At 33.1% G+C, this 12,632-nt stretch overlaps 1 protein-coding gene across 6 annotated transcripts in view; it reads left to right on the top strand.

Moving 5' to 3' along the window:
- DACH1 (dachshund family transcription factor 1) overlaps positions 1 to 12,632 on the top strand; it is a 429,239-nt gene that overhangs the window by 289,971 nt on the left and 126,636 nt on the right. For 3 of the 6 annotated variants that reach the window (NM_001366712.1, XM_017020396.2, XM_011534940.3), the window contains 2 exons: positions 3,661 to 3,816; positions 4,222 to 4,394. The exons of 2 other annotated variants lie outside the window; for them this stretch is intronic. In NM_001366712.1, coding sequence (NP_001353641.1) covers positions 3,661 to 3,816; positions 4,222 to 4,394 — 329 coding nt within the window. The remainder of the gene's footprint in view (positions 1 to 3,660; positions 3,817 to 4,221; positions 4,395 to 12,632) is intronic. One more of the 6 variants, NM_080759.6, reaches the window with a different exon arrangement.

The following is a 12,632-nucleotide window of genomic DNA, read 5'->3' as shown; positions in this document are numbered from 1 at the left end:
TTGGAGGTGGTGGTAAAGAACTGAGGAGAAGGGAGCAGGCTGGAGAAAGTGGGCATCAGAACAAGAGGACTTACACCAGCAGGAGGACCTTAGTATCAAGAGGCAATGGGAGTTTAAGGAGCTTAGACGATCATGAAGCTGGAGGAGAGTCTACTGTGAGGGACTTGTGCAGTTAGGAAGTTCCTCAGTAAGGATTCCCTTGAAGGATCAGACATTACCACCATGGAAATGTTTAGATTTAGGCCTTTACCACTTGGAAGATGTCAATGGCCTAAAGGAGTAGCCACAGAAGTTGTGGTGCAGGGGAAATTTAAGCAGGAACCATTTAAGCAAGAGACATTTATCTTATTACCCAGAAGAAGGAGAAGAGGAAGACAGGATGGTTGAAAAGCTGAGCTAGCTTCTGTCTTCTAGATACCTAGACTCTAGAAATGGCTAATGCTAGTGGGGATGGGGAAGCAGAGATGACAGTTAACTAGAGTGGATTTATTATACTCAAAATCTGCTCAAGGCTCTTAAGGGACAGAATAGGGAACCTTGACAAAGCTTTTTTGAAGGCAGTAATTAGAGGAAAACGAAAACCATTTTATATTTGTAACCCATCATTTCTGACTATTCAATAATCTGGTGCCCTTAGAGTAGAGATGGCTTTCACAATTTAGGGATATATTTCTGCATTTAAAACCTGGTCCATCTTAAAAGATGTATCATAAAATGCAATAAAAATATCAAGTGAGGGTGAGCCAAGGAAAATAGTCTGAGCCCATGAAGACTAAGACATTGCATCAAACTTATTTTTCAGAAGCTTTGTTTTAATGTTGTAATGGGGAGGCACTAAGCGGGGAGAGGACCTCCCACACCTACTCCTTACATATTTGAATTTTAGTTACACTAAATCTTGAAATAACCTTGCTTGTCCCATCTTTTACACAGAAGAAAATCTAAACACACACAGTCACTCTTTATATATAAATTCCATATATTTAAATATGTAGTTATTAGTATATTCTTAATAGCAGTTAAGTCAGTTTTTTCTGTTTCTGTCTTCCCCTGCCAAATGTTAGAAATTTCTTATATATTGAATCTGCTGCTGTTTCTTGCAGTCTTAATAGTAAATATGAATTTTAAAGGTATTTATGTGTGTATATATGTTTGTGTGTTAAGCATAGTGCATATATACTGGTTTATATCGTGCTAATATATTGGCTTAAAATAAAATTGTGAAAATATGCACTTAATAACTGTGGGCAGGTCTTGTTCTGAAGTGGCCTATTTTCAATTCTTATTTATTCATGCTAATAGAGGAAAAGGATGTTATAAATAATGCAAAAATCACTTACAGCTGACTTGGTTACATATTGTATATTTTTCATCAGACTTAGTTTCTTAATTGTTTGCTCTATTTATTACCCAAATGAGCTAACATCATGAGTATTTAACAAATGATGATTGGCGGAGATGGCTAGAAGCATTCTATGTAGTGAGAAAATCTAATATAGTATTAGAAACTTACTAGAGAAAATTCACATATGAATGCTTGATATTTACCTGTGCACAAGGGACTGATATCTGTGACGCAAAAACAGATGTGAAAATGGGTAGTGTTTTATCTGTAGTTTTCAGAGTGATTTAATCAGAATTTTAAGATAATATTTTGTACCTTAATAATGTGAAAAATAGAGTTATTGTGCATCTCTACTGATATGAGTGAAATTTAAATATATTTGCAGAAATAACTATTTCCCATTTATTTATTTATCGTGGCAGTAAGGACTTCAATAAAAGAGGAAATTAGTTTAAGTGAACAGAAAAAAGTAGATTATAGCTGTAAATGGAGCTCAAACTGAATCCAAAATAATGAATGTATATTTTTCCACTCCATATTTTAGTTAATTATCTTCAAATATGCACTCTACTATGAAAATGTAATCGTTACATTTGTTGAAGATTTTAAATGAAGTATAAAATATAGAGAAAATTACTTATTATTTCTAAATTTCCAGGGCAATTTCTATATTAAAATAATATTTATTCCAAAGCATGATTTCTATATCCCGATAGTCAGTTTTAACTGATAACATACAAGGTAAAATCAATGCTGAATCATAACATTTGACCAAATCAAATCCCACAGATTTTGTGAATTAAGCCTATAATAAAAAAATTGCATGTACTTTGATAAAGGCAATGTAAAGAGCAGATGTTTAAAATGTGTTATAATCATAATCTCTTGATATCATACATTTGAAAAATTCATCTATTTATAGTGCTTGCGTGTTTGACTAGTACCTAGGGATAAGTGTCAAAAAAGTTATGAGAACAGAAGTAAGGTGTATAAATTTGTGAATATGAAAAGAACTTTTATATCACAGTGTAGGAGCAAGCTGGAGAAATTTCTTTTATGTAAGTCATTTCTGTATGAAGCTATAAACTTTTTTTTAAACCAAAAGCTGTCATGGTTTCTTGTAAAATAATAAAGATAATAAAGATATCCATTTTAATTGATTCTTTTCATTGTTTAATAAAATTGCTTTGTTTGATTGCTGAAGAATTTGAATTGAGTTTTCATTACCCACTTCTGAACACTTTACTCTAAGATCCAGACAGTATTGAGCTAATTAGTTTGAATTTATATTGAACCTTAACTGTCTTCATGAAGTAAATGGAAAAAAATCATGGCAGTAACTAAGTATTCTTCATTAAAAACTATGTCGTAGAGATTTTACAATGAGGCTTTTAGCAGAGCTAAAGCATTAAATTGGAGTTTTACCAACTTTGTTGTTTCTATGCATATTATATGAAAATATGGTTTCTTTTTTTAAGAAATAAAAAAGTCATGAGCTGATAGGGATATTACAGAAATTTCCTCTAAGTGGATAGTTTGTATTTTCAACAGATTCAGTTAAGGAATAAATTAATGTTAAATTAATTTAATTTGGGAGCACATCTAAATTGAAATGATTTATAAACACCTTCCAAGGAGTGTTCTAATAAGGTATTTCATGATCTTTTTAAATCTAAGGCATTGCTACCAATATTGAAATGCAAGCCCTCAGTTGAGTGGCATTGACATGGAGACATAATGTATGTTTCTCTTTATTTGAAAACAAGTGATGTATTTATTCACACACACATGCATGCATATTTAATTTTTGCTTTGGCATTATATTCTATAAAGTGATCTTTTGTGTTCTCTGTACAATGTCTAACCAAGCTGGACGTTTAATGGCTTCATTTTTTGGATTTGCTGTGTAATGAAGTTAGGCACTTTATGTGATGGCTAGGATGTCATTTCATGCAAGAATAACTTTGCATTCTATAAATATTAGTGTGTTTCAGTTCCAAGGAGTAATTAATTATCTGGTTAATATAATAGAGACCATTTCATATTAAGCTGGATAGCCGAACAGTATTAGACTCCACCACTAGGTTAAATGTTGCCGGAATATATATTTTTTTAATTTTGAGATCCTATACAAGAAATAGAAAATCAAAAAGAATGTGCAGCTTAGGGGAAATTTACTTACCTCGGCTTATTTCCCTAGAAATCAGTTTTCCAACTCCAAATGTGATACATTTTTTAAAAAACTCATTTTAAGTTAGTCATTGGAAGATTTGGAATAATATTATATCCAAGTAATTTATATTCATTCCCCACAGGCAGCAGTGATGGTTCCTGGGATAAGGAAACACTGCCCTCTTCCCCATCCCAGGGACCTCAGGCCTCTATAACCCACCCCCGCATGCCTGGAGCACGTAGCCTTCCACTTAGTCATCCTCTCAACCATCTTCAGCAGAGCCACCTTCTGCCAAATGGTACGATGGCATTCTTTAGTATTAAAAATCATAGTTTTTTTTAAATTGTATTTATCAGTTGGCAAAATAGGACATAATAAAGAGATATACTATATTTACATAGCTAATTGGGATAAGTTAAAGAAAACCCTAGTATTTTAAGCAAGATTCAGACTGATTATAGGAATAATATAGCAAAGAATTGACCATTTGTATTAAACACAGGATAAGTTAGGAAATGATAAACCAGGGCACCAAACCAGATAGCTGTAAGCCTGGTTTCCCTGAGTAGTAAGTGAAATTTTTGCATATGAAGAGGAAAAATATTGTTTCTTTGACTACCATTATTAGAAAACTTTTGACTGTTTCAATTTTTAATGATTTATGTCCTCCAGAGCAATGATGATATATGTGCATTTTTTATAGGACTGGAACTTCCTTTTATGATGATGCCCCACCCTCTAATTCCTGTCAGCCTACCTCCAGCATCTGTCACCATGGCAATGAGCCAGATGAACCACCTCAGCACCATTGCAAATATGGCAGCAGCAGCACAAGTTCAGAGTCCCCCATCCAGAGTTGAGACATCAGTTATTAAGGTAATTCTTTTTTTATACAATTATTTTGGCATGTTCATCTTAAGCCACCATCCCTTAATCCATTTTTCTTATTCCATAAGTACATCTGAACTCTAAAAAGCTAAGTGATAGTAAATAGACTATTAAAAAAAATCACTTGTAGCAAATGGCCCCAGGGGCACATTACTTAGGCAGGCTAGGGTTGCTTTAAATTCTCTATATATCTATTAAGATAGAGAAAAACATAGGACATTAAATGTTATAGTTCAAATTGTGTGTGTTCTTACATAGGTAGTTGTGTGTATGCGTGTGTGGTGTTATGAGCATTTATGTGTGGAGAATCAGAAGACCAGAAGGGATAAGTTTTGCCACTTCCTAGCTCTGTCACCTTAGACATGTAATTCAATCTTCCTGATTCTAGTAAATATCTAATAAAGGCATAATCCAGTGTGGATTATGTTGTAAAAACTAAATGAAGTAATAAAATTGGAAGTTTCCATAAATTCAAAAATACACTAAATTAAAGGTAACATTATTGTTATATAAACTTCATATGTGCATATATACACAATTCCGTCTCCTCTATCCCTGTGTATCTGTGTGTGTATGTTTGTGCATCGTATGTGTTATATATGTAAATATGTTTTACTTTCATATTATTTTAAAATGTGTACTTAAATCAAAATATTTTAACTGCGTTGTCTGGCTAAGGAGTAAGAAATAACAAAAAATTAAGAATAGATTATTAATTTTTAAACTAAGTACAAGATATTTTATGCTGCATGATCATTATTTGACATTACAATTATCCCATTTTTCTGAATACAATACACTTAAATTTAGGGTATCCTCTGGAGCACATCTTATATAAACGGCCCTGTTCAGATCACAAGGTCAGAAGATCGAGACCATCCTGGCTAACATGGTGAAACCCCGTATCTATCAAAAATACAAAAAATTAGCCAGGCGTGGTGGCGGGCGCCTGTAGTCCCAGCTACTCGGAAGCCTGAGGCAGGAGAATGGCGTGAACCCAGGAGGCGGAGCTTGCATTGAGCTGAGATCGTGCCACTGCACTCCAGCCTGGGTGACACAGTGAGACTCCGTCTCAAAGAAAAAAAAAAAAAAAAAAAGGCCCTGTTACTACTTACATACAATGTGGAGTAACATACAAATAGGAATTGTTCTTATATTAATGGCTCTAAAAACAAAGATGTATCCCAGATGCTTTGGTCATTTTCTGTAGTATCAATACCAGAGGAAAAAATAACCAAAAGTCTCACAGAAGACCTGGATCAACTACTCAAAGATCACCACCTCAGAGAGCGCCAGTGAGTGCCACATTGTTATCAGCCAAGGAACTGATAAAAAGACCTTTGAAAACTCTTCTCTAAGAGGGATATTGTTACCAGATTATTCAATAAGCAAGATATCACCGTATTGTTAAATTTATGATGATGTTAGGTAATAGGTATTATTGAGAATTCAGCACTCTGATTGCCTCACTCATTAAAGTTATCTAGAAGAGGAGTTTGGCGGAGGGAAAAACCCATTTAAGTCTTCCCATCATTGTAGTCAATGGCTACTTTAAGCAAATATTACAAGGTACTAAGTATTAATGTATACGATGTGATTATTCTCATTAAAAAAATCTGGTCGTGATTACTATAAAGAATCATCTCATAATATTAATTATGTAATTTTTACTTTTAAAACTGGTAACTAAAATCTCTCATTTAGGTAAGATTTACATTAATAAATAAGGCAAACATATTACAGAAGAGCAGCTTTTAGCAGTTTAAAGTCATAATGGGTGTCTAAATTATGGCCTGTAGCTAATATTTGCATGAGGGATGGCTTACATATTCCTGCATCAAAAAGCCTTTATTTATATCAGGATACTTGATTTATTTTATTTTGCAATATACACATATTTTAAAAAATAGTTGTGCTACTTGTTAATTAGAATACTTAGGGGATCTCCTTTTAATACATACTTGGTTGTCAGAGTTTAGATAAGTAGGAGGAAGAAGTTGAGTTTCCTCTGGAAGAAGTCTATAGAAAATAATTCAGGACTCAATGATTGGGAAGTCAGAAACATTCCTGTGTTTTCCTAGATTAAGTTTAGGAATGGAAAGGAGGGGGATATATGGAGAAAGGAAGAAAATACACAAAAAGAGAAGAAAGTGAGGTCGTTTTATGTTTTAAGATATGTGCCAACACCTACTAAGTCATAGAGATATCTCACTTCTTCTCCTGTTGCAAATATTTTCAGAAACTTGGTTACATGCAGATTAAAGGGAGTTGTGGATTTTGAAAGTGTTGATGTAAATGGTAATAGTAGCAGCCAAATAGGGAACAATGGCTCTAATTGAGAATGATTACAAAAAGTAAAATCTGATAGTTTTTATTGCCAACATCAAAGTGAAGTTCAATTGGCTGTTGTGGAAGGGCTGAAAGGCCCATTTTTTATCATGGTGCCCTTATTATTTTGTGAGACAGGCCATTTGTATAGCTTCGAATTTGACACTGACAGGTAAAGATTATTGAAAGTAAACACATTTTAAGAAAGGCATGAGACGATTCTAAGCAGTTATAGATGCTTAAAGACATCCACATAACCTGATAAAAATCAAGTGAGTGTCCTCAGAGAATAAGGGTGAGGAATAGGTCCTCCAAGAAGTTCTAAGTATTAGAGAGGAGAAGTTAACAAATCAACCTGTCTAAATGTATATATTGGTTGACTGTATAGAACAAGAAGAGTTTATAAACTCACCTAATAGATGTTAATTAAGTTTAGTTTTGGGGAAGTTTTTATTTTCCTCAAAGAAAACAGCTGACTCCTATGTCACCTTTAACAGTATTGGACACGTGGATAACTAGAATATGGACTACACATTGGTTTGTCTGGGAAGATTCTATTAATAAGTGTGAAAGTCTGTTGCAAGTGACGTGTTAAATGTCATAGAAGATTGAGCCTGTATGACGGAATTATAAAGCAACTGGAGAAATAGTCTTTAAACAGAAAATAGAACTTTGAGAGATGTTCTAAATGCTGGAATATACCATTTACATTTTTTAAGAGTAATGACAAGACTTAAAATTAAAACTCAACCTAAATGCAAATGGCAATAACAATTTGTAGGACAAAAGAGAAGCAAAAATACAGCTTTCAGAGTTATATATTTTAAAAATATTCTTTGTTTAGCTGTTTCTATGAAGTAAAGGAGCTCCAAAAGTTTTTTCATTAACATATCAATGCCAGTACATGAAATGGAGCAGGGTCTGAATCCCCAAGCTGCCAACGTTGGGTGAAATCTATTCTGCTGCTGGTTTTCATGGCCTGTGAGTTAAGAATGGTTTTGCATTTTTAAGTGGTTGGAAAAAAATAAAAAGAAAAATATTTCATGACACATGAGAATTATATGAAATTCAAAATGTAGTGTTGGTAAATAAAGTTTTTTCTGGGGACAGAGCCATATCTAAATTTATGTAATGTCTATGGCTATTTTCACATGCAAAGACAGAGTGGACTAAAATACTTGCTGTTTGGCCTTTTACCAAAAAAGTTTGTCGATACCTGTGTTAGACCTCTGATTATCCCAAACCCACATGAATCTCAGACTATGGAAAACTGAAGCAGCTCAAACTAAACTCTCAAACACAATAGAACCAAGTAGAAAAAAAAATTAAAATAATTGAGAATTTAGGGTTGAAAGAATTAAATGCACTGAGGAAAAGAAAACTAGATAGATGAAGACTTTCCCACTATGGCATTGTTATTTGCTTTACATGCAAGCGTTCATGAGAGAGTCTGCTAAAGCCTTGAACTTAGACTTTCTATGGCTGGTTGTATTGAGTATAATCAAGATTATTTTGAGGAGGAAATTGACATACTCTTTAGACAATAATAGGTCTAATTGAAATTCCTAGTTGTGTGGATATATGCACAATTTCCTCTCCTGTCTCTCTCTCGCTAAATATCTGTGGGGATATATTAAATAATTATAAACTGTACCTGTATTAATTTCTTATGTGTCAATGATACCCATATACTTTTTCTGTTTAGCATTCATAGAACATAAAGCAACTTAGACTTGAGATGTTATGTAATTCAGCTTCCCCCATAATGGAGAAATAATTCCCACATCCTTCTTATTCATTTTCATATATCTAAGCTTTTGTAGGATGCCTAATCTATTTTCAGCAGATTTAAGAGTGAGAAGTATATTCATTAATCAAATTAAAATTTGCATCTCAATAGCTTCTACCTTAACTTTGTTATATTTTATTTGAAGAAAAATGTCTACTAATTCTTCTAGGTTCTAGCCATTTCAATATTTAAGCCCTCTGTTTTAGTGCCTATAGTGTTTCTGTTTTCTAGGCCAATTATTCTAATTTGTTCTGACTATTCTTCATCTTTTTGGTTGCCTTCTTTTTATTGAAGTCACCCTCTATCACACCATACTCTAGAAGTGAATTGTGCAATGAAGAGACACTAGACATCAACCTCAATTTGGACAATAATCTATAAATGTAGTCATAGTTCCAAAGATTTTGTTTGGTAGTTGAATGTCTGACTCAGTACATTTCATGCCTTTCTGACATAAAATTCTGTTAAGCCAGTTTTTCTTCATCTTTTATTTGTGTTAGGAATTTTTATTTATCCACATTAAGATTTTTAGTTTCCATTCCATTGATTTAGGGTCTTCAGATACTTTGGAGTATTAACATCCCAGACTATCACATTAGCTATTTATGCCACCTTTGTATCATTTCCAAATTTTAAAAGGATGTATTCCTTTATTACGTTAAACGACTGAGTAAAATAAACAATATAAATCAAGAGATCAATTTCTCTTGTCATTGGAGAATTCCTAATAAGTTGAAATGTTCTATTAATTGATTCTCTTAGGTATCATTCATTATGTAACCCAAAATTCTCTTGAATGAATCAATATTTTTCTCAGTTTTTATTTAATAAATTCACAATGTTATAAAGATTTTGAAAAGGGCGTACTTGCTGAAATAGAAGTAATAGTGAAAGGAAGAAACGCAGCATATTTTAGTGATTTAAGGCATGTGTTCTGAAAAAAGACTACTTGGATTTGCATTTCGACTTTATCACCTCCAACCAGTGTGACCATAGACAAATTATTTAATATATTTGTATTTTATGTAATAACAGCACTACCCCATTAGGTTGTCATAAAGATTAAATTACTATTTATTTAATCTTTGGAAGTCTTTATATACCAACATTATTTTCTTCTCATTACTATTTTGTTTTCTCTCCAAGTATCCAAAATCATTTGTTTAAAAGTAAGTTCTAGAATTTTGCAGGGAATCCCTGTCAAGCCTGTGAAATATAGTCATACTTCTATGGTGAGACCTCTGTCTCTCTGACTTTCTATTTTTTTTTGTTCTGCTCATTTTACCTAATAAAAATTTTATACGCAGCTTTATTTTAATCAGGACTTTTGGGTTTGTAGTGCATAGTATGCAAAGCAGATTTTTAAATGCATTTTAAGATTTTTTTCAGAGATAACATAGAACTGTTTTTGAGAAATATGATGACATTCAAATTACCCTACATTGTTGGATACACATCTTTCTTCTTATGACACATTACAGTTTTCTGAAAATAGGGAATATGACTTAAATTCGTTAATTTTCTTTGCTGATCTGTTATGTGTCTCTGTGTGTGTCTGTGCATGTGTGTGTGTGAGAGAGAGACTTTGTGACATTCTCATTTAAAGAATTAAACATTGAAAAACGCTGTTTATAATTGTACTCATACTTTAAAGCAAGTTCTTAAAATACTGTATTAGGAAACAGGATGTTACTTGCATGAAGTTTAAAATGTGAAAAGATTATAAAAACTACAACCAGAGTGACCTAATTCACAAAGTAGAGTGAATCTTAGAGCAATGTGACATCATATACTTCATGTTGGTTTTTAGTTACAGAATAGTTTATTCTTTGTACAAACATAAAAATCTCCAAGTGTATGCAGAGCTTTTAGACATAAATTTTTTTCACAAAAATTTATTTAATTTTACTTGGTTTTAAAAAATAATAAGTATGTTCTCTTTAGGTTTATTTGAATATTGATATTAAATATGAAAAAAGATGTTAACCTAAAAAAGAAAGTATTACAACACAACCACCACTAATGAAACATCTAGGCCTTGAAATACATCACATGTTTAAATGCTTGATTTTATAATAATACTAAAAAAGAAACTCATTGTTCACATTTGGAGAATTTGGGGGGAACTGATGTTTTTAAAGGACAATAAAGGCTTAAAGATAAATACATGGAAGGGATCAAGCATTTTTCCTGCCTTTTCCATAAAAACTGATCCTAAGAATAACCAAATGATTCATGAGGTAACTTTGTGATCATAGAAACCTTCTAGAAAATAAGTGTGTAGGAAATTACAAGCCCTAATGAAGTGATGAATTGCGACCATGATCATCAGTGGTGGCTGGCATCATAAAAGGCAACCAAGCAGACATTATGCTCATTATAGAAGCTTGCAACACCATCTATGAAGTAGTCGTACCCCCACATCAACTTGTACCAAGCCTCCAGAGGTAACTATGCAGGAAACTCAAGGGTCAAAGGAACATTGGGATGAATTAGACTCATCAAGGGAACTGCAGATGAGAGGCTCATAGTGGTGGTGGTGGCCTGTAAGAACATACATTTGTTCCTTACTAAGTTAAACATTGACTTTAAACATTTACCATGCAGGAGAGATTGATGCCAGTTAAAGGCAATGCTGGTCAAATCAGCACTTACCTTTTTTTCCTTGCTGTTCTTCCTTCATCTCTATATCCCTTGGCTGTAGTAAAGAAAGAAGTCCTACCTTTTAATTAAGACGCCAGTATTCATTGTCAGATGGTGCTGAATTATAATTCCTGAGTCAAGATTTTATTTTGCTGCTTAAAGCAAATTTATATTATCAAATAGCAACCTAAAAAGTTACAAGGCTATGTGAATTTTCATACACACTTGGGAAAAATATAGTCCCCTACCACCAATGAGTAAGTTCAAAAAGACAACAGGAGAATAAAGTTAAGTTGTTTCAGATTATATTAAGTTGTTTCACGGGGTCTTGCCAGTTTCATGTTTAGAAAACTTGAGTATTTATGGAGTTCCATAATCAAAGTTTTTTTTTAAAGCTATGTAAATATTATTTGGGGCTTCCTCAGCTATGGAATCTTGATTTGGGCTGCCTGGTCCTCAACTAGGTGTAAGCATGCTAACATCATTGACTGTCTCTTAAAAGTACTTTTAAGCATTTTTCTGAATACAGGATTCCAATTCTGCTATTTGTCTTCTTTGCACATTTTTCCAAAGCAAAGGAATTTGAACACCACTCTTAGTGTCAATGATGTTGCATTTCACTAACAACATTTACCAGGTGTGATATATGCTCCATGGGGACAATAATTTTTGTCAGTTTTGTTTAATTTTATGTAACCAGAACCTAGATCCTGCCTGGTACATAGTAAGTGTTCAGTAAATACTCATTGAACTAATGTATTTGAGCCTGAGTTTTCTTAAAGCTGAGAAGTTTTGGTTATATAAAGTGCTGGTCAACTTCATCAATTTTATAAATTAAAAGTTATATGAAGATAACATTTAGGCTGGGCACGGTGGCTCACAGCTGTAATCCCAGCACTTTGGGAGGCCTAGGCTGGTGGATCACTTAGACCAGCCTGACCGACATGCTGAAACCCCGTCTCAGCTAACAATACAAAAAATTAATCAAGTTTGGTGGCAGACGCCTGTAATCCCAGCTACTCAGAGGCTGAGGTAGGAGAATTGCTTGAACCAGGGAGGTGGAGGTTGCAGTGAGCCGAGATTGTGCCACTGCACTCTAGCCTGGGTGACAGAGCAAGACCCTGACTCAAAAAAACAAACAACAACAACAAAAATTTAATATTACAAATTGTTTTCCCACTTCTATATCCTGTTCAGTTAGAGAATCTCTATTGAAAAACAAAAAATGAAGAGAATTAAAAGGAGAGCAAAATAAATAAAAACTAAATGAAATAATCCTTTAGAGAAATGAGTTGTGATTATACTTACCCTAAGAAAATATTTTAATTTGATAAAATATAATACATTTTTAAGGTGCAGAGAGGAGAACTGAGATAATGAAATTTTTAAAATGTTTAATCACATGTGTGTAGTACTGAACATTTTACACTGTTTATTTTAGAATTTGAGTATGTTGTTTTTGAATT

This window comes from Homo sapiens, chromosome 13, assembly GCF_000001405.40.
Source record: "Homo sapiens chromosome 13, GRCh38.p14 Primary Assembly".
Lineage (NCBI taxonomy): Eukaryota > Metazoa > Chordata > Mammalia > Primates > Hominidae > Homo > Homo sapiens.
Note: the sequence above shows the minus strand (reverse complement) of the source record. Positions and strands in the feature narration are given on the sequence as shown.